Genomic DNA, 22,630 nt, shown 5'->3' with positions numbered 1-22,630 from the left:
GATATAATAGAGACTGGAAATTCTCTTTTTTGTTTTTTCTCAAGACATTTATCTTTCTATGTGAAGACGTGGCAGGGGGAGCAAAAGTGCTGCATAATCATTGTGCTTAACTAGCTCCAGTGGCAAAAAGTTTAGAGACATTATTCCAGTATAATTAGGCAAGACCATTTGCCATGCCAGAAAACAGAATTCATCATTGCACTGTTCAAGAATGAGTTCTTTAAAGAAACTACAATTAGGTCCTCAGTATACACCTTGAAAAGCAGTCTTAGAAAAATTAGGCTTTCCAAAATGTAACTGAAATTTTTCTCAAATAAGTTTCTTATTCTTACAAACATTTTTCTCTCTCTCACTCTTGCTTTCTTTCTCTATTTAGATATGGAAATATTTTTAATTAAAACATTTAAAAATATTTTAAGATTTTCCTCAATGTTTTCCCCCAAATTGGTTGCATGCTTGTTTACCCAGAGCTGTGCATCCTCCCCATACCTTCAGAAAGTTCATTAAAAGCAAATATATGTATGATTGTCATTTAATTCATGAAACTATACAACTCCAAAGAGTATTTAGTGAGAATGTACAGAGCTAAGCATACAGCCCTTGAGCTACAAAAAATGAAAAATACTCTGGTTTGGAAAATTCAAAATCAGATAAATAAAGAAAAAAAACAACCCTCTTTGTCACTATTCACTTAACCTGCTCCTACCAAGATTAGAACTTCAAGAGGCAATCAAGGCAAGTATGACATTAAGTAATAAAATTTAAGGTAATAGTGAAAGACCTTCCAACCTTCTAATCGTAAGCCTCCAGCTGCTCGACTAAAGATCTTTTTCACTTGACTTCAGCCAGCTGTAGGCATTCACACATTGGATGTCATATTTGATGTCCACCTCTACATTTATCCAAGACCAAAACCTCAAAAAATACCTTCTGTTTGATAATTTTCTGTGCCTGCACCTCACCTTCACTTTACTGGCTTTATGGCTGCCCTAAATCTTTTCCATTTTTATCAGCCATCTAACTCTTTGTGTCCTCAGTTGTTCTCAAGTTGGCCATGCCACCGTTCTTGTCTTTTTCTTGTCCTTCTTGTCTTTTTCCATACCTCTCTTGCTAAATTTCAACCCTGGCTTGCTACCTGACTACTACCTCTAATGTTCACCTTCATTAACCCTACTATGGGATTTATAATCTCTGCTCTTTAAAAAAACAAAAAGTCATAAAAACAGTACATTTGGGCCATGAAATTCACTTTACTATTTTAGTGAAGTGAATACCTTCCTTTATAGCCAAAGGTTTTAAATCAAAAAGTAGTTCCCTAACACAATTTCTAGAACCCCCAACTTGAATTTGACTTTCCCCAAAATCAGAGCAAGGGACAAGGTAGTTTAATTGGGAGCTGATGTCAGGAAGCTGAGATGATAGAAAAGGAAAAGACAGGGAAGGGGGAAAATGCTAATAAAGGAAACCTCATTGAGCTTGTGACCACTGTAGATAACCTCTCAAGGAACCCTGTAGAATGTGACTCAGAATTATCCTTCCAAAGGATGAGAGACCCAATGTTATCTTCTGGCTCCTATACCCTGTTGATTGGAGGCTATCCCAGGGGGTGATAACTCCCCCAAAGTTTGTAGAAGACGTTTGTCTGTCTCATTGAGCAAGCTTTTATAAATTTTGTCCTGAGGTGGAAAAGTGAAGAAACTAGGTGGATACATAAGGTAAGATGCTTCTAGGTTGCATCTCATATGCAGCCGAAATCACAGGTGGGTAGAGTAGATGTAGCCCTGTCAAAAAACTCATTTCAATTATTTCTATTCTTTTGAAGATGAAACTTTTTCCTTCTCTATTTAGCTTCTCATACAAAGATTTAGAAATTTAATCACCTCTTCTCTCTGTCTTATATATCTAATCAGTTACCAGCACACAGCTTTTTTACCTTCACAATGTCAGATGTGGCTCCATAGAAAGGTTGAAAACTGATTGACCATATCAAATTCCATAGGACTCACATAGATTCTCAGACTCCATTGACCATGATGTTGTCCAGCTGCTCTGTGAAGTTCACTAATAATATTTTAAAGGTGTTTTCTTCATCATGAAGCAACAAAGTATGTTTGATGCATAGAAATAATCTGAAGACATCACCAACATTAAGAATACAAAAATTTTTCCAGTGAAAAATCTAAAATGATACCCAATTGGGGATTACATTGTTCACAAAGCATGTTATACAAGTGATGCTTTAGTTTCACAAAGATAAAACATTTGGAGAGAAGCAATGCGCCACCTGAGCAGAACAATCAAGACATATTTTTTGCCCAACTATATACCATAGCATTTTTTATTTGTTACCTCTTCTCAGCTATAGTTGTATTTGTGGACTTAATAGACTGTTACTATTGAGCAAACACAGATCGCAAAGCTCTGCAACATTTCCCACTGATAAAAATTTGTAAATCTATTGCTTAAATATTCTGATTTTTGAATCACATAAGATAAATTTAAGATAAATTGCATTTAAATATGTTGTCGATATTTTACTCTGGCAGGAATGTTAAGTTTATACAAACATTTGTGTTCATCATTTAAAAAATCATTTTGTAAATATTTTTCCTTGCTTGCTCCCATAAAGTATTCATATACATACATAGTCATACACATTGTTATTTACATCAACACACAACACTAAAATTACTATGTCAAAGCATCAAAAAGCCCCATGCTTTATTTATTCGAAAAATATTATTCCTCTGATACATAACTACTTGTGCAAAGTTCTGTCAGTCACAAGAGTTGTTAAATTTTTAAAGATCCCATAATGTGGTAGGCTTTCTCTCAAATTTTCCTTACTTCTTAGAGTTCAATTAAGATTAGAAACAATTATGTAAAGAGTAAGGAAAGCATACCAGAAGTTAGTTATTCCATTTTATTCTGAAAAGATTGCTCCACTGATAGGAGCACGTGCTTACAGGAAAAAACAAATGTCTAGTTTGGGAGCAAAACATGATTTATTTTTTTACAAACCGGCCTGCATGTTCTGTTCATCAATACATGTCCCTACATGTGAAAACCTTTTCCGCATGGTGTATCATTCTGCTCTGGGGGCTCTTTGAAAGTGAGCCTTTCAAGTCCATGCCCCACAGATCCCTGAAGTGTCTGGGAACTAACCCTTTGCTTTTGCCAGAGATTTGAAAATGGAACACTTTGGGGCTATACAACATTGCTGTGTAATTCATTACGGGACAAAGAAATGTCTGGGGTTAGGCAGGCAAGCAACTAATGATCCTTCATTTTGTCCAGAAAAACATCAAGATCGATATGTAGGACATGCAACATTTATGGAATGCTGTATTTTCTTTTCCCTCTAGGTAAGGGAGAAAACGCTGAATGATCTCTTTCTGCTGATGGCTACAACACTCAAACGATTGACACTATTTAACACATGCTTTTGGTCTCTCCTTCTCATCTGCTAGCAGCAATACATGTGACTGATCTTTGTTAACTTCCTGTATACTAGTACTCAATAATTTGATTTTTGGCATGTATATTTAGCTTCATTGATCCAGGGAACCAAAATCTGGGGATAACATTATAATCTAAAATGAACAGAGGTAGTTCTGGGATATGCTAAAAGACATCAATCATCCATGATGTATTCATTTAAAAAAAGATCTTTTATGAATAAATAGGAGGAGCCCAGAGAAATAAAGCGTGTTCCAAAAAGATATCTGTAAAGTTCTCTTCCAACTCACTTATCTGTCAGGAATTAGAACCCAATACCAACATGAATCATATTTAATTAGCAAATTATTCCAACAATGGCTCAAATCGAAATGGGGCAGCAACATAAATGTGGTCAGTGTTACATGTCCTTGCAAATTTCCTTAACTATGAAATTTTTAGAATTTGAAATTCAGAGCAATGTCAACATTTTAGGTTGAAATAGATTTTTTCCTTGTTCTTTTTTAGAAATGACATAGTAGGGGACTTGGAAACTAGATGATCATCTCAGGAAAATAATTAGCTTTGCATCTCCTTTAAGAATAATTGTCATTGTCAACAGTGACAGAAACCAAATGCCATTATATTTGCCCAATAACACAGGCACATTTTCCCCACACTGTGCCTAAACAGAGACGTAGACCGTATGAATATGGCACCAATTGCTCAGTACTTGCTTAGAGTTATATTAAATGTAGGCAACATAGTTTGGCTGTGTCCCCACCCAAATCTCATCTTGAATTCCCATGTGTTGTGGGAGGGACCCAGTGGGAGATAATTGAATCATGGGTGCAGGTCTTTCCGGTGCTGTTCTTGTGATTGTGAATAAGTCTCATGAGATCTGATCATTTTAAAATGGGAAGTTTGCCTGCACAAGCTCTCTTCTCTTGTCTGCCGTCATATGAGACATGCCTTTCACCTTCCACCATGATTGTGAGGCCTCCTCAGCCACGTGGAACTGTAAGTCCAATAAATCTCTTTCTTTCGTAAATTGCCCAGTCTTGGATGTGTCTTTATCAGCAGCATGAAAACAAACTAATACAATAGGGCCCTAGTATGAGAAGAAGATGATTGACATCATATTCAATCTTTCCACAGCTTTCTTAAGACCCGAGGATCTCAGGTCATCATTATTGGATCCCTGTGAGTCCCTCATCTACATGACCTTAAAGCAATGTATTTAAACAATCAATGTGCAGTTCTATAAAACCACAAACTTCTGAATTCAAATATGTCAAATCTTGATAAGGCAGAACACTGAGATTTTTCAAATTTTAAAAATTGTATTTTAGTTTTCAGTGGGTCACACCAATTATAGTTGAGCATATTCACAAGCAAAGACACACTCTCTAAAGTAATGAAAAAGATTCGGAAATTGGCCACTTAAAAAAAGTATAAATATCTGATGCCATAGCTCATAGTGATATCCTACTCCCTGTCTTAAATATGGAATCAAATATTGGTTAAGACATACATTTCTGAAAGTAAGATTTCAGCTATTTCCAGGTAATAAGTAATGAGGACCAATAAAGGCAGACAGCATATACCCAAATTGTAATTATACCTGTTATGACTTAGTAATTATACTCAACAAGGGCAAATTACTACTTTACCTTGCAAAATACCCATATCTTGTATTATATCCTCTTTTCTTCCACACCTAATTTAAGTATCAAAGATTAAATGTCTTTACTTAGCATTTGAAGCCTTTATTCAACTCTAACTTTCAAAGTAATTTATAAATAAGCAGATTCAAGCACTGATGATGATCAATATTCTGTATTTAGTTCTATTATGATGAGTGGAAATCTCAGAAGCATACAGTTGTCTCTCCTAAGAGTTTTATAACTGAACATAATTATTTTGTCTTTCTTGTTCCCGGGAGATAAAAATGAGTGAGAAAACTCATAACCAAGTTCCTGCTATTCACAATGTTTCCATTGGGTGTAGCTATGATATTAGATAGGTTAATATCATAGCCTGCATATTCTGGAAGGATGCCCAGACATTTGGGGATTTGTAGTGACTTTCTTTGTCTTCAGCATTAAATTGTATTAGTCAGCAATATGTTCATTGGGGAAAACCAAATAAAATACTTTCAAATCAATCAGGGCAAGAAGGCTTTCAATACGTCTTTTTGACATACCAATATTTTGAACAAATCAAAAAATTGAGACTTGTGCTAAAACTTGAATCATTCATAATTTCTACACAGTGTGCTCATTTTTATTTTTATATAATTATATAATTTACACCTAGTTTGAACAACTTCTATATAAATAGGTATCCGTTGGATGAAATAGGACAAACAAGAGGAAAGTCCACAAACAATGCAACTCCTTTACTCGATGACGGATTTGAGTAAAGTGTCTTAAAATGTCTGTTTATACAAAAAAAAAAAAAGTATTTCTGCTAAAATGCAAGGGCAGCTAACATGCTGAGATGAAAACTGCTAACTCTTTTCTTAACAACACCATATGTCTCCAATTGGATCATAATGCAGTCAGTTCCCAAGGGAACGTTACACATGGAAGCTAACCAAATCAAGGCACAGTCTTCACTGTATGTTGACTCACTGATTAGCCAGCAATCAGCTACTTTAGGTTTTCAGATTATGCAAGTGTCTGTCTGAAGGGTCTTTCTGCATTCTTGACATCCCCCCTTAAAAAAAGCAAGTCATTACAAAACCCTCCACAAAAATATTTCTCTTTTTGTATATGCTTCCTCTTATCTATAAACTCAATATATTTTAAGGAACTAAAATGCTCAACCTCTGAACTCTCTGATGGGTTTTAAATAGTAGATGCATTATACAGCAAACGGTATTGAAATCAAGCTTAAAAAGATTAAAGTCACATATTGTAAGATGGAAGAAGTCGCCTTAGTCTCCTCTGAGAATAACTGTATATAAAAGACCAACAAATAAACCAAACTGCCTTATTCAGATGAATCTTTACGTAATTTTTCTTAGTTTAATACTTCATTCCATTGTTAATTTTTTATATTGGAATTATATTTAAAACTTTACTTAGTTAATATTAAAACCTTCCACATACACTACTGCCTCAAGTTCTGGCATTTGTAGCTCTGATACACATAATAAATCCAATTATTTCATGTTTAATGCAATTCTTAATAGCATAAAATTAGAACACTTTATAATGTGTATAAAACCTTAGGAATTTTGCCTTGGGAAGTGTGAAATGCCCTGGGATAGTCCAGATTGGGGCTTCTCAAACTAGCTCTGATAAATAGACAGTATTTTCTAAAATTTCCAATTTGTCAGTAACTGATATTTTTGTAAAAGAAAATTATGCACTGAGATTTCATGACATTGTCAAATCGCTATACTAGTTTCTAAATGCTTTCTCTCAGTTTCTGTGCTTTTCTTGTCATGGACTGGTAAGAAATGTTTCAGGGCTGGCATCAATTTGTGGGATTCATTGTGAATATCATTGTTTGGATATTTTGTAACTTGGAAATTGGAATTTTAATATTAATGCTGAGTCATAAAATTCTATCACTTCCAGCACATCATTCTTTAACTATTCTTTGCTATGGTTTTCTTCTAATCCACTTTAGAAAGTTAGCAGCAGAGATTCAAAAAGCAAAAGAAGAATTACCAAAAAGCTTTTGAGAAAGATGAGTTGCTACACAGTATTATTTGAAAATACACATTAAGAAAAGCAAACCCCCCAACTCTGCAGTGATCAACAAGGGCTTTACAATGTACTTATTCTAATAAGAGCAATTTAAGCCTCGGCATCATTCAGTCACTTATTAGTGAATTTCTTACCTGGGATGCCTGGTGGTGTTTTCAGATATTTTCCATTAAAATGTTGAATTACCACTTCACATTTTTCAGTAGACTCCATTCTGGGAAAAAAAGGTAAACCAGAGGTCATATATGGTTGTCAAGAAAAAGAAACTTAAGAAGTAAAGGAAAACAAGAAAGCCATAGAAATACTTGATTTGAGAATTGTACCCTAATTGCCAACTTTTTTCATGAACATGATGACCAGATTGATAAGAGAACATCACAAACTCATTAATGCTTAGAAAGTATTATTCACTCTTTGAAAGGTGTCTATGTGGAGGGCTCTATTCTGAGCACTCGTTCAGAGGTAACCCTGCGGCATTATCTTAATTCACCCAGCAATATTTGGCAATTGAAAGTGTTCAACAAATGTCTGTTGAATGATGAATTAGCAAACCTGATGGGTAAGTCTTTTTATTGTCATTCATATCAATAAGGTCACTGAGGCTTAAACAGATAAACTACCTTTCCAATAAGAGGAAAAGTCAGTATTTGAACTGACATCTGTGCAACAGTAAAGCCTGTGCTATAGCTACTAAGCTATACTGCTGATGGATTTCACAAAAGAGGTTGACAAGATGTGTTTTATTTGCATGGCTTGCAGCCTAAAGGACTGATTGGTATAGTAATGTAGTCGTCAGCATTATGACATTTTTATTGAAAATCCACTTTATGTAAGACATCCAAAGAGTTAGGTGGGGTCCTACATGTTGAAGGAAGGTATAGATACACAAACCTTAGGTTCTATGCTTTCTCAATATTGAATTTTGGACAATATCCTATTTTTTCATACTATCTTATCAATATTCCTAAACTGGTATTCTTGTGCCAAATTTTGGCATCTCACATACAACCTAAAGCATGAACATTTTGAGCCATACCAACATAATTTAAATTTTGGCAATGTTACCATATCTTAAGTACAGTAATATTTGTAGCAGTTTCCAAATAATGGATAATATCTGGCCTTTTTTATTTTATAAAATTGGATGGGGAGGATAATAATTAAGGATTAATTCTGATAAAAGAAAATTAAGTCTTCCAAAGAGTATACTAGAGGCAAAAATACATTTAAGAAACAGCATACACACACATGAAAGAATGTGTATGAAATGTGTGAAATGTGTAAAATGTGTTCAAAAGGCAAAGTTTAATTTTGGATTTTCTGCTGTTATTAATATGAGCTTTCTTGGAATGGTGCCCATCAACTCAAGTTGTAAAACTTTCCTACATCTAAATTTTATGTCCATTTCAGGACCATATTACATGGCCATATTATAGGACCATATTACATGGCAAAGGAAACAAGATACAAAAAAAATATGCTAACAAATGTCAAGTAAGTTATACATATTTATTACAGCTATAAGAATTCAAATGTGAGAGGAATCCCAGAAGTGAGAGAAATGCTGAGAAGAGGCACGGAATCTAGGAGAGGCTTTTGGCGAAGTAATTAGGGCAGGGGGCTGAGCTGGGCAGCTTGGAGGGCGTGCGTCCTTATTACAATGTGGTAGAGAGAGCAAGCATGTGGCTCAGTGGAAGGTTTGCCCGGGAAATTCTTAAAAATTAACTGAGAGAGGAAGTCAGGGCATCTGTATCACTTGTTTAACAAGTTTGAAGATAATATCAGGAACGAGTTCCAGTTTTGAGCTATAATTATTCTCTGACAAAGTTTTGTTTTCAGATGTACATTCTTATGAAGCATGTGATGAGAGTGCATCTTTCTGTATCGATGGATATGACAAATCTCTACCGCCAAGCAGGGCTAAATTTACAGGAATGAGGCCTATGTCTTCACACACAGCCCCACACTTAGAACAACCCTGCACTTGGTTTAAAGTTCTGCTGTTGCCACCTTGAACTTCTTAACAGTGTTTTAACAAAGGGATCTACATTGTCATATTTCACCCTAATTTAAGTAGCTGATCCTGCTATGACAAGAGAGTGTAGGAAACTAACTTAACATTAACGCTCAGTATGTATATCATCAGGTGACCCAATGGATCCACATAAGTATTATTTTGAAAAAAAAAGTCTTCAGAATGAATCAATTTGATGTCCAAATAAAAAGAAAACTCTTTATGCAATTTTAATAGATAAAAATAAAAACAAAAACAGCATTTTGTTTACTACTCACTCACAAGTTCCCCTATATCAGAAGATGTTTGGATAAGAAAGGCAAGCGGAATCTTTCCTCATTCTAAATATTTAGGAACAGCTAAGTACAATTTTCCTAACTCTTTCAAGTTTCCTTTCCAGTGGAACCTTTTACTGTAAGTCTTTCAATTTTTTTATCTTTTTTTTTTTTTAAGTAGAAAATTTCCATTTCCAGGAAGAAAAGAATTCTAACTCTGTTCTTTCTCTCTTCCCACAGGATCCACTATTGTCTCTTTGGGAAAATAACCTTCTCTCCTAGCAGAGACATGAATGGGAGAGGAAATGTAAGCCCTTAATTACTACAGATGTTACTTTATGGAATTTTTATTCCAGGAGAGCTACAAAATGCAAAGTTTATGCCTCAGAGCCCCCTCCCTGTTCAATCTCTCTCTGGGTACTCATCTGGATAAAAGGCAGTTAAGAATCTAAAGCTTGCTTGCAAGAGTCCTACAAATCAAATCCTTTGTCTTAAAATGGCATGGAATTATAAATGAAGACTAATACTAGGGGTGTGTGTGTGTGTGTAGGGGTGTGTGTGTGTATGTGTGTGTGTGTGTGTTTATTCTACATAATACATTTTAGGGAATAGAGAGGAAGCTAAAAAAGAAAATCAAGTGGCTAACCCACTCCACCCACTTAAAATATTTTTGTTCTGTTTGAAAGCCTCAAGTCCTCCCTTCTGCATTCTAAGTGTGATCATCTTTTCTTAACACTGTTTTACAGCCATATCAAGCTGGATGGGGGCTGTTTCTATGAACACAAAGACAGCAGAGTAGATTGTTCACTTTGGGTTCATTCAGATTTAACTAAGTGAATGTCTGCTGTGAGCCTTTAGAGACTCCCGTCTCTGAAAGAATAAATGCAATAAAAGTCTGTTTTCTGTAGCTGCCGGCGCTTAGTGTCAAACCATGTTACGCTGCACCACCCAGCAGTGACAATTCCATTTTAATACACGGGGCACATTTTAACAAGGCAAAGCAGTCCCAGCAAAGATGGCAATATAGGAGCTGCCAAGGGGAAAAGGCTCAGTGTTCCTCATGCATTTTACGTGGAAGCAGAACAAAAGTGAGACTGAGACCCAGAAAGCTCTGGGGGGGGAGGAAAGAGACTATATTTGAATAGCCATCTTAGGAAGAATGTGCCCATTTTCTTCTCAAGTTTCACAATTAACCTCTCTGAAATGCCAGCTCAAGCTGTCTGGAATCTGGCACACGCTTCAGTTGAAACTGACACTAGCATTATCAAGTGAGTCTGAAAAGACAGCACACCAGACACAGCTGCCTTTATATGTCCCTTTCAGATGGGCCACTGAATCACTACAACTGCATCTATTCTTCCTAGGCGGTACCTGAAACCCCTTGCGTCCCTCAGAACAGCTTGAGTGCCAGGCCAACCATTCACCTGACAATACATTAATTAGGATCTTACAAGGCTCTAATCATTGTATAAAGCTTCAGGGTTTTCTGTTAGGTCTGATGTTTAAATATAAATACACATTAAAGGTCCTGTTTGACATTCTTTCTTGTCTCAGTACCTAGGACACTGGCTTCAGTTATTTGAAACACACCACAGAATTGTGCTTCTTCTTCCTTTTTTTTTTCAAACAGCTACTAAGAGGAGCTAGTTTAACAGCCGATACAATTCCCACAGGCAAATTACGTCAGATGAGAGGCTGATCCAATATTAGTAGAATGTTCTGGGTCAGACTTAACATGCAGAGGTAGAAACGTACTTTGCAAAACCATTTGCAGCCTACCTCTGTCACCTCCATAGAGAATCACACAGTTTATGGTCTTAAAGCAGTAAGCATTATTAACCATGTATTTAAAACAAACCCATCCTGTCATTTATTATGGTTAATTAGAGGTTTCCAGTATTGTGAAATGTTTGTGGTTTTGCAATCACAGGCTCTGTACAAATTATTGGCAACTTAGAGTATCTAACGTTGTAAGCCAGTCATCCTCATTTCTGGTAAGATTTACGTATGCACAGGGTCAACATTAAACTATTTTTTAAAGTACTAAACTCTGCACTGCTTCTGACATTTCAAAAACAAATTATGTCATTTCCTTCTTAATCCATTGTAACGGAAGGAATAAAATAGTGAGTTCCAGAAACAAAGATGAATGAATGCGATGAATTTTCTTCTCAGTTTTTGCAATTTGTTTTCTTCCTGCCAGGCACCTGACATTCTTAGGATACAAGTGTCTTAAGTACCAAACAGTGAAGCAGAGAGGCCTCCCTTACATGCCCTTTTGTAGAAACCAGAAATTTTGAGGGTATCTTGCTCAGCATTACAACACATTCCTCTTAGGAAATGAAACTGTGGATGACAATATTTGACTAATGAAAACACATTCCAGAGTTTGAGAGTCACATAATTTCAAGACTCAGATATCAACTTCTATATTGTACAGATGAAGAAAGTAACACTAGAAGACTGTGATTGGCTTCCCTAAAAACTAGTTAGTGGATGAGCCTGGAATAGAACTGTTGTCTCATGACTTTGAATTGAGACTATTTATTTGCAAGAGATGCAGCTCCATTGCTGGCCTCATGTCATCCCTCCTGATTTTCTCTACTGACTGATGTACTTCAATCTGTTCAAGAGTAGGATGGGTCCTGCTAGCTCCACTCTACCCAGCCACTATTACTTCAAGAAGTTGTTTTCAAAAATGGAATATAACCTGATATGAGATGTCAAGGGTGTTTCACCTCTGTGGTATTCTCTCCCAAAACCCATGAAAACTAGGGGTCTTATCATGAGAAAAACAGCTGACAAACTCAGATCTAGAGACATTCAGAATACCTGGCCAGTACTACTCCAACAAACAAAGTCTAAGAAATTATCGCAGATCAGAGCAGGCTGATGAGACAGGACAGCTAAACACAATATAGTAACTGGATTGGATCCTGGAACAGAAAGAAAATGTTAATAAAAAAGTTGGCAAAATCCAAATAGAGTCTGGAGTTTAGTTAATAGTAATATACCAATGTCAGTTTCTTAATTTTGACAAATGTGCCATGGTAATTTAAGGTGTTGTTAATGGGGGAAACTGGGTGTGCAATATATAGAAAATCTATATTATCATTATGGCTTCTATGTGAAGGTAAACTTATTGCAAAATAAGAAGCTTTTAAAATCACTGTACATTAAAATTATCAGAAAACTACTTTTAAAAATACCAATCTCTGGGGCCCAGCCCAGGAGATTCTGACTTAATTGTTTTGGCATGAGGCCCAGGCACAAAGATTTCAAAGCTACCCAGGTGATTTCAGTGTGCAGCCAGGGTTGAAAACTCCTGTTCCGAAGTTCTGTGTCAGGTATGAGAGACTAGAAACCATGGGCCAAACCCAGTCTACAGGTATGTTTTATTTGGACTGCAAAGAGATTTTGGAAATTTTGAAATGGTTGTCAACATTTGAAACTTGGGAGATTTCACATGAAAATTGAAATCTGTGATTCCTTTTAATAGATGGGACAGTTTAACCCATGCTTTCTGCATGGCAACTATGACATAATAAAAAATATATTTAGTCTTTTTCTCAGGTTGCTGACACACAGCTTCTAAAACCCTTGGAATTTCCTGAGTGATAGGGGTATGTTTTGTTATTCAGAACAGACTATTTTTAACCACATCTGAGTTTATGCTAATGAGGTCACTCAGGTAGCTTCAGGATGGGGACTGGTCACCAGAAAGACTAAGACTTGATTAGTGGGTTGGAACTTTCATCCCCACCCTCTCTGACTTCCAAGAACTGGAGAGGGGCCAGAGATTGAGCTCAAACACCAAGGGCTAATGATTTAATTAATCAAACCCAGAGGTTTTACCTAATGAAACCTATATAAAAATCCCTAAACAACAAGGTTCAGGAAATTTTCAGTTTGGTGAAGACACTGATATATGCCAGGAGGGTAGTGAGCCCAGAGAGGCTACAGAAGCTACACACTCCTTCCCTGATGCTTGGCCATATGCATTTCTTTCATTTGAGTTGTATCCTTTATAATAAACTGATAAACATAAAGTGCTTTGAGAGTCATTTTAGTGAGTTACTAAACCTGAATTGGGGAGTTGTGGGTACTCCCACATTTTGTAGTTGCTGGGAAGAAATGTGGGTAGCTTGGTGATATGGTTTTGCTGTGTCCCCAACCAAATCTCATCTTGAATTGTAGCTCCTACAATTCTCATGTGCCATGGGAGGGACCTGGTGGCAGGTAATCGAATCATGGGGGTGGGTTTTTTTTCTGTGCTGTTCTCATGATAGTGAGTAAGTCTGATGAGATCTGATGGTTTTATAAAGGATAGTTCCCCTGCACACACTCTCTTGCCTACTGCCATGTAAGACAAGCCTTTGCTCCCCCTTTGCCTTCCACTATGATTGTGAGGCCTCACCAGCCATGTGGATCTGTGAGTCCATGAAACCTCTTTTTCTTTATAAATTACTCAGTCTCAGGTATTTCTTCATAGAAGTATGAGGATGGACTAATACACCTGGGCACTCCATTTGCAGCTGGTGTGGAACTGAGCCCTTACACCTGTGAAGTCTCATGATGATCAGGTAGTTTGTGTCAAAACTGAGTTAAATTGTAGGACATCCAATTGATGTCAGAGAATTAGAGAATCGATATGCAAAAATAAGGTATTTGATGTCAGAAAAACCCACACATTTGGTGTCAGAAAAAAAGACATCACAGCAACCATGGAACAGAGTAAAAGAGCAGTTTTGTTCTTTAAATGAAGCCACTTTGCCATTATTCCTACCAAGCTGTATCAATTGCCAATCCTAAGGCAAAATAGTAGGTGCTGTTTATCACTGAACTTGCATTCTTTATTTTTAATAGTTAGGAGAAAAGAAAAATTATTTAACTTAATTTATACAGGGAGAGTGGTGTATTTCTGCTCATCCTTTCCTAAATGTCCTCTCTGTCCTGCTCTATGCCCCAAGGAAGTGACCCTTCTATCGACTGTGTAATCTTAGTTCTTTTGTTTACTGGTTTTCCATTGGGTTCTGCCTATGGAAGCTTGAAAGAAAGAACTTCAAAAGGCAAGAGTAGAGAGAAATCTGAGTGGTTTTCCCTCTTTGTCTCCCTGCTTTGGCACTTCTGTCTAGCAGGGGTTGCATCTCTCCCTGTCTACAGTCCTTCCAAGCAGGCCCTCCTCTGAGGCTCTGGCTCTCAATGAACTCTGGAAACACCCTTGTGGTTGCTCCTTGAGCTCTCAGGGTGGTAAACGTTTCCCTCTGTTGCTCCTCTCTGGGAACATCAACATCTCTTTGCCTTTACCTCAGTTCCCTTAACACTGCTTCTGTAAATATTTGGTAAATACTCCTTAATTTTCTTCAGTAGAATCATCTGGAGTGAAACTCTGCTTCCAGCCAGCATCTTGATGCCTACACCATAAAGCTATCAACAGCAGAGGAGTAAAAAAATTATCCCAAAGACTGTGTGTTTCAAGAAGCATGTAAGAGATAAAGTTTGCCTTATACTCCATCTAGAAACTACTTCTTTCACTTGGATTACCTGATTATCCCCAGTAGGGACACTCATCTATGTACTCACATAGATGCATAATTATCTAAGTATATTTTTTTAGCCAGACCAATGTTTCTAGAAGGAATTTTCATAAAGAAATGGCAGAAAATTAAACTTAAATAAATAATCTGAGATAAAGTGAAAATTAAGCATAGGTGTAGAAAAGTCATACCATTAATGACTCTGGAATACATTACCACTTTTAATCAATCTCCTAGCTACAGCCATATTTCATTCCTAGATATTATTGAGAAAAGAAAAATAGCTCAGAGCAGGTCAACTATGTGAGATATGCAACATTTATCAGGCCCAGAGAGACATAAGTACAGGGCTTCAGTCATGGCTGTCTCTCCCCTGAGTAGCCATGACTGGGGGCAATTGTTTAAGGCATTTTTGTTCCTGACCAGCTTTCTCACTCATTATCTTCATATTCCTAGCATTTGTGACACAAAGAGCAATGAATAACCAATTAATAGCTTATGTTATCTTAACGAAAAGTCTTGATAAACAACTTCTCTTCTTTTTTCCTTTAAAGACCCACTTGTAACTATTGCTAATTGGACTGTATATTCAGGGCAACATGAATCTAGGCTCCTGGGTGGCCATCTTCAAGCTTTGAGCTCATATAATCTCTGTACTTATGTTATTTAAGGTTGACATTTTGGTGACTCAGGTGGGACCTGAAACAGACTTTCAGTGATCTCCCTTGCTTTGCTGACAGCTGGAGTCCTGATATGAGCATAACTTTCATTCATCTGACCTCACTGGAGTCAGCGGAGGTCAGTCAACTGGGTAAGCCCTCCTCAGATTTGAATGCTCCATTCTTGGTTGAACATTCAGACCAATTCACTTTTTGAAACTGCACACATTCCTGCCACAACATGGTTGGAAATGAAGCTCTACTGTAAGGTAGGAGTTCCATTTGTTATTCTCTAGAGTCTCTGCTGATTGCAGATTTGTGACTTTCACTTTTTCTTTTTGAGCTAGTGTTATTTTGAATTAATTCTTAGAGTTTTCCCATCTTTTAGCCATGTACGGTGGCTCACGCCTGTGATCCCAGCACTTTGGGAGGCTGAGGCAAGAGGATCACTTGAGGTCAGGAGTTCGGACCAGCCTGGCCAACATGGTGAAACCCTGCCTCTATTTAAAATACAAAAATTAGGCATGGTGGTGGGCGCCTGTAATCTCAGCTACTCGGGAGGCTGAGGCAAGAGGATCCCTTGAACCTGGGAGGCAGAAGTTGCAGTCAGCCAAAATCGTGCCACTGCACTGTAGCCTGGGTGACAGAATGAGACTCTGTCTCAAAAAAAAAAAAAGAGTTTTTCAATCTTTTATCTCATTTAAAATTTTGGTCGGGGAAAAAATAGTTTCTCTCTGAAAAGAAAAAGTGTAATCTTACAGCTTAAGTGAAAAATTTGTAATCTTTAAAATTGGTCAGATTTCACAGCTCAGTTCAATTGACAAATCTAAACATTCTTCTTGGGTGACCAAAATTCCTCTCACTGGGTCTTTTTTATCATTCAAAAAGGAAATATGATTATGGGCAATCGTACTTCCATAACTGAGTCTAATAATAAAGATTTGCAAGAGCTGTTAGAAGTAGTAACTGACCTCTTTAGCTTTTAGGGTACCAGGGATTACTCTGTACTATGAGATACAACTTGAATTTTGTGTGTGCAATGGCTGACAAGTCACTGGCAAAAACTGTGGTTTCTGAAGCAGCTGAAATCAGTTACAGTGAATGATTATAAATGTACGGGGCTACTCATTTTTTCCGGTGTTTAGATAGAAAGACAGGTTTGAACACTTGAAGGTGGAGGAAACACTTCCCCTCAAGGCATAAAACTCCTCCTGTGGGAGGGTGGTCTGATCACAGAGTGGGCTGATGGGCATTGCTCACCTACCAGTCTTGAGGGAATGTATGCAGTGAGGTGCATTGTGGAAACATTGCATACCCCGGTCTTGTGGCATTTCTCTTTTCTGGGGGACCCGGGATTCAATGTAAAAGTGGGATCGTTCAATTTTAAATATCTAGGTGCACTGCCTGTTTTTCACATATGTAAACATTAGTCCCCAAAAACTGCAAATGCTTTCATTTTGCTATTCATTAAAGGGCTCAACCCTGAGGTTAGTAATCTAATCAATACATAAGCTAAGTTGAAAATACCAGCTTTCTGACTAGATTGGTCTCCAAAATATGACTTTCTGGCATTTAGGTGGCTATTTTGAAACTCTTTGTAAAATAAATATACATATATAACGGAAATCTCCATTTGTAGGAGCATCTCCCTTGCTCCACCTAAGCTACTAGAAACTTTTATGACAGGAAAAACAGTGCCTTAAAGTTTATAAAACCAACCTTACTTTTGTTTAAGATATTTTTGCTGGTAATCTTATCTTGACTGGGCCTTTACCTATGCCCTTCTTTGTCTCAGTAAATAAAGGTGTTTAGATCTAAGTTCTGTGCCTTTGGGAGGTAAATTTTCACCTAAGAGTCATGTTTTTGTGATTGTAAATTTAGGATAGCCTAGCTAATAATTGTTTAGGGCTTGAGAGTCTAAAGAGGAAAGAAACTATTTGCAAACTGGCAAATGGAGAACCTTATAAAGCTATTAATACAAAATTTGCTTCTATGTGTCCTGTATGTCTATATGTTTAAATGTGGCATGTGTATGTGACATTTTACTAGCAACATATATGAAGAACCTCCAATTAATTGTCTTAAAGAAAATGTAAGTGGTTAAATCAAATATTTTATCAGAAAAATAGAAACTACATACAGACAGGAGGCAGGGAAATACTGGGTAGAAGATGGTGGTTCCCCGGCGAGGGCTCCACCCTCAAGCCCAAAACCAATGCCCTAAATGAAAACTTCACATCCCTGTTTTCCCACCCAAATGTTGCCTTTTCCAAAACTACCCTGGCCGGCCCCACCCTCCACCCTGTACCCATAAAAACTCCAAGCTCCACTGGCAGGGAAGGAGAAAAGAGGAACCAGCTGGATATTAGAAAGAAGCAGCTTGACTTCAGAGGGATGGCTTGACAGCAGAATTTCATAGAAGAGTTCTGCCACAGATGGCCCAACTCCAGGGGAAGATTATCTTCCCACTATATTGCCCTTCCAGCTCCCCTTCCTGCTGAGAACTACTTCCACCACACGATAAAATCCTCTGCATTCACCACCCTCCAAATTGTTCGTGTGACCTCACTCCTCCTGGATGCCAGACAAGAACTGAGGTGAGGGGGAAGAGGCTGTCACACTAACTCCCCATTGAGCTGTTAAACACTTAAGCCATCCATGGATGACAAAGCTAAAGGACCACACCATAACACACATCCTCTGGGGCTCCAGGGGTCGTAGGCAACCCCTAGGCGCTGCCATGGGCCTGTACAGTGTTTGTTCCTGCAGGCACCCAAAGGCACTTGCCCCGGCTCCTGCACCAGCTCACCTGCGTGCTAACCCTCCCACAAGGGGTTTGAGTGCTGCGGGCTGCCTAACCGAGCCGCCCCTTTGTGAGTCCCACAAAGGTACCAAGGGAACTATCCTGTCTCAAAACCAGCTCAAGTGCCTTTTAGTTCACATGATTTGAGTAAATCTTTAAGACTAGTTTAATATTGTTGGTTTAGTGAAAATAGCTGTCTTCTGATCAGGAAAATACCTATGTATTTATCCATAGAATTTTTGCTTAGGTAGTGGCAAAACATTTTAAGCACGTTGTAGAGGGTTTGTGGAAGATTAATCTTGGGAAAGAAATTTTGTGTGTGTTCAAGTTGTCTAAAATTAGAAATTATTTATATGTTTTTCTAAAAACTGAGCATTAATATCAAAAGCACACTGATGTAAGGCCACAGTCTGTGCCCCTATGTTGCCACAGGGTTTTCTCAAAATACTGATCATTTTTAATAGAAAATTACAAAAGGTTATAAAAGGTTTATGGAAATCTTATTTTGTGAGGTCAAAGCTGATTGAGATTGGACAGATTTGGTCATAATGTTTTATTAAAATTAGCTTTAGTATTGATAACACACTAAAAGTAAAACTTGGTTTTCTCCTTAGAACAAGAATTTTGTGTAGTATTAATAAGAGATAGTAAAAGATTTGTTTACTTTTTGAGTAAACTGTAAAATAATTAAGCTGCAGGGAGAGTTTCCCTCATGTTGTCTTTATTAGGTCCCTTGATTGGGTATTAAATCTCTTCCCTATCAAATAATAAAAAATTTTGCTTTCTGAAACCTTTGAATTATCATTTTCACAAAATAAATGACTATTATTATGCATTGACTTCAGATTCTATTTTGATCATGAGTTTTAAACATTTTTAAATTTCAATATCAAGTGTTTTAAACCCTTAATACTTTACATATTTCCAAAAATTAAATTTCAAATTCTAAAATTATCTTTTAATTTGTACTAACCTGGACATAAAGGAGAAACCCCTGGAAGTCCAGGAGAGACATATAACACTTATTTGGTATGTTAAAATCATATAGGAAGCATTGTCAAATAAGAAATGCTGTTTATATGGGCAAATAGAGGGGAACAACACACACTGGGGCCCTTCAGAAGGTGGAAGGTGGGAGGAAGGAGAGGATCAGAAAAATAACTAATGGGTACTAGGCTTAATATATGGGTGATGAAGTAATCTGTACAACAAACCCCCATGACACAAGTTTACCTATATAACGAACCTGCACATGTGCCCCTGAATTTAAAATAAAAGTTAGAAAAATAGGTTTGAGTTATATTAGTATACATGTATTAACATGTATTCCAAAATTATATGAGATTCTTAAATTCAGATATGTCTTGATATATGCTATCAGACATAATTATGATTATTATATTACATTGTTTTATGCCATAAAAATAATTAAATTTCTTGTCAATTGTATCTTTGACCATGGCTACTCTTTTTGTCATCCACAGACAATTATCGTTTTACTTTAAGTCTTCTCAAAACGTTATTTATAATCAGCTATAGTCCATTCTTCAAAAAATTCGTGGAAAAGAATCCCAACAAGAATTCTTGAATAAAGATTTCTGATAAATTTAGAGATCTTACTTTTGGACGAAGTAAAATCTGCCAGAACTCTAATTAAAAAGCTGATACATTAATGAAGATTGCTAAGTCAACGTCAATCAAAAGTTATTTCAATTTACTGAACTGATAGAGGACTGAAATGATTTTTATGACTTTTTTGTTTGCAACATTACTGACTCTTTTATATTTTGTCTTATTTTCTTTTCAGCTATTCATAGCTTATAGCAACGGGGTAAAGTATACATTTGCAAGCAAAATTGAAATGTTCACTTTTCTCTTTAGCTGATTTCTTCAAAATATGGAAACTAATAATGAGTATTCTTGTTTTATGGCAATATAGTTATTTGCATAAGTTCAATAAGAATGTGTTTGTTTTTTGGTATCAGGACACATTGAACACTGGTAATTTTTCCAAAGCTTTTATTGGAATGGCATATTTTTAGATATGACCAGATTGCTTTGAGGAATTGAAGTTGACTTTAGAAACCCAATAAAAGGCCTCTGGAAAAGACTGGCATGATACATTTTTACATGGTTCTCTTACAAGGTTCCTGACCTTATGATAAGTAAAGAATATCACTTTCTGACAGGTCCAGGAACCTCAAGATATTTTGGGACCTCAAGAAGAGAGGACTTTACCCAATTCATATAGGTATTACAGGCACAACCTGACAGCAAATCCTTGGCTTGTTTTCCTAGCCTCAAGAGGCTTTTAAAAATCTAATTTGAGATTCCTTATGAAAAAGTTCTAGCAAAGCCAACTTAAAGGAGCCTATATGGCCATTCATTATTCTTGTTACACTTTATACAAATAATCAGGCCAAGAGCACTACTAAAACTTATTTTGCAAATAAATTGATCAGACTAAGAATTATCCTTGGTTTACATGGGGAACTGGAGAGAGAAAAATAATGTTTCAGAAGAAAACTATAGCACACCTGCTATTAGATTCCAGCACTGACTACTGTTTTTGAGTTTTTATGATTTTCCTATATTTTAGACTAAATCCAGAATTATTTCCTATCTATGAGTCTCTAAAGGACAAGGGTTTAATTTTCTTCAGGATGTTTTCAGTGTACTCACCAGTGGAACAGGTTTCCTTTTTCATTTTGGAATACATGTTCTCTTTTTGTAATGGTAATCCTTACTTGCAATATGTATCTCTCACTGTTTTACTGCTTCTGAGAAAATTAAAGTCATAATATTCTAAAGACCAGGATGATTCAATAAGTGACAGCAACTATATAAATAAGTTGACTGAGATTTGGCTGAAGTCTCATTTTTGCCACCCTGTGATACCATTCCAATTCAGCTTTAGGCACACTTAAAATTTCTTACTGAGATGTATTCTCTCCCCTGCCCCTTCCCCACACGCCCACCTGAGTGGGACAGAACCATTTGGGAATGAACCTTCCTTATGATATAGGACTAAGGAGTCAAAATGCTTTTAGTTCATCTACTATGCTTTCTTCAAAACATCTTGATGAAATGGAGGGAAATGAGAAAACTCAGATCAGGCTGAGCTATGTGAGGTATGCAAAATTTATCCAACCCAGAGAGCCATGAGTTGGAGACTTTTGATCATGCCCCTCCTCACAGCATCCATGCCCAGGGTAGTTTTTTAAAGGCATTTTTGTTCCTAATTAGCTGCCTCTACCATTATCTTCATGTTCTTGGAATCTGTGATACAAAGAACCATGAATAGCCAATCAATACATTACTTTAATGTATATTCTTAGCAAAAACTTAAAAACTGCTTCTTTTTTCCTTTCAAGACCCACTTGTAACTACTGCTAATTGGACTGTATATCCAGGGCAACTTGAATCTACACTCCTGAGTGGCCATCTTCAAGCTCTGAGCTCAAATAAACTCTGTACTTAATCATATTTTCTGAATCTCATTATTTAAGGCTGACATTATTACCTATTACACCTCTTTCCCTTACTCAATGTTTCACAATTTTGTTTCCTTTCTATTTCCCAAACATGCCAAACTTGGCCCCACCTTAGGTTTTCTACTTCCTTTTCTCTTTGCCAGGATTGTTCTCTTGCCTCCCTACTCCCACTAAGAGATTTTCTTGGCTGGTTCTTTCTGATTTGTATTTTAGTTTCAATGTTCCCTCTGAAGACAGAACATCATTCTCTTACCTCTTGCTTCCTATTGCCCCATACTCTCTATTACACCCCTATGTTTGGGGTGTTTTTGTAATATTTTCATTATCTGATGTTTGATTATTTGTTTATTACATACTTATTGTCATCTCCCTGATAGAGGCAGCAGGCAGACAAATTACCTAGGCAGATAGGGAAGGGTCCCTGGTGAAACATCACCTTCAAGCCTAAAACAGCCTGAAGGCTGAAAGACATGACTGCTGGTTCCAACTGAAACCTGTGACCCAGAGGGACAACTTCTGCCCCTGTTTGCCCGCTCTTTCCTGATTGATTCTTTCTGAATAATGCCTTTTAACCAAACGAATGTTGCCTTTTCCAATACTACCTAGGGCTATACTACCCCTTTCTTTGCTGAGAGTTTTCCTTTCACTTAATAAATTCTGCCCTTTTCACACTTCAGTGTATCCACAT

At 36.9% G+C, this 22,630-nt stretch overlaps 1 protein-coding gene across 15 annotated transcripts in view; it reads right to left on the bottom strand.

The window, feature by feature from the left end:
• Positions 1-22,630, bottom strand: part of RBMS3 (RNA binding motif single stranded interacting protein 3) — a 729,325-nt gene that overhangs the window by 240,112 nt on the left and 466,583 nt on the right. For all 15 annotated transcript variants that reach the window (XM_005265061.3, XM_017006180.2, XM_017006179.2 and 12 more), the window contains one exon: positions 7,295-7,374. In XM_005265061.3, the coding sequence (XP_005265118.1) occupies positions 7,295-7,374 (80 nt within the window). The remainder of the gene's footprint in view (positions 1-7,294; positions 7,375-22,630) is intronic.

The sequence above is a fragment of the Homo sapiens genome, chromosome 3, assembly GCF_000001405.40.
Source record: "Homo sapiens chromosome 3, GRCh38.p14 Primary Assembly".
In the NCBI taxonomy this organism is placed as follows: Eukaryota; Metazoa; Chordata; class Mammalia; order Primates; family Hominidae; genus Homo; species Homo sapiens.
The sequence above is the reverse complement of the archived record's forward strand: the minus strand, read 5'-3'. Positions and strand labels throughout refer to the sequence as shown.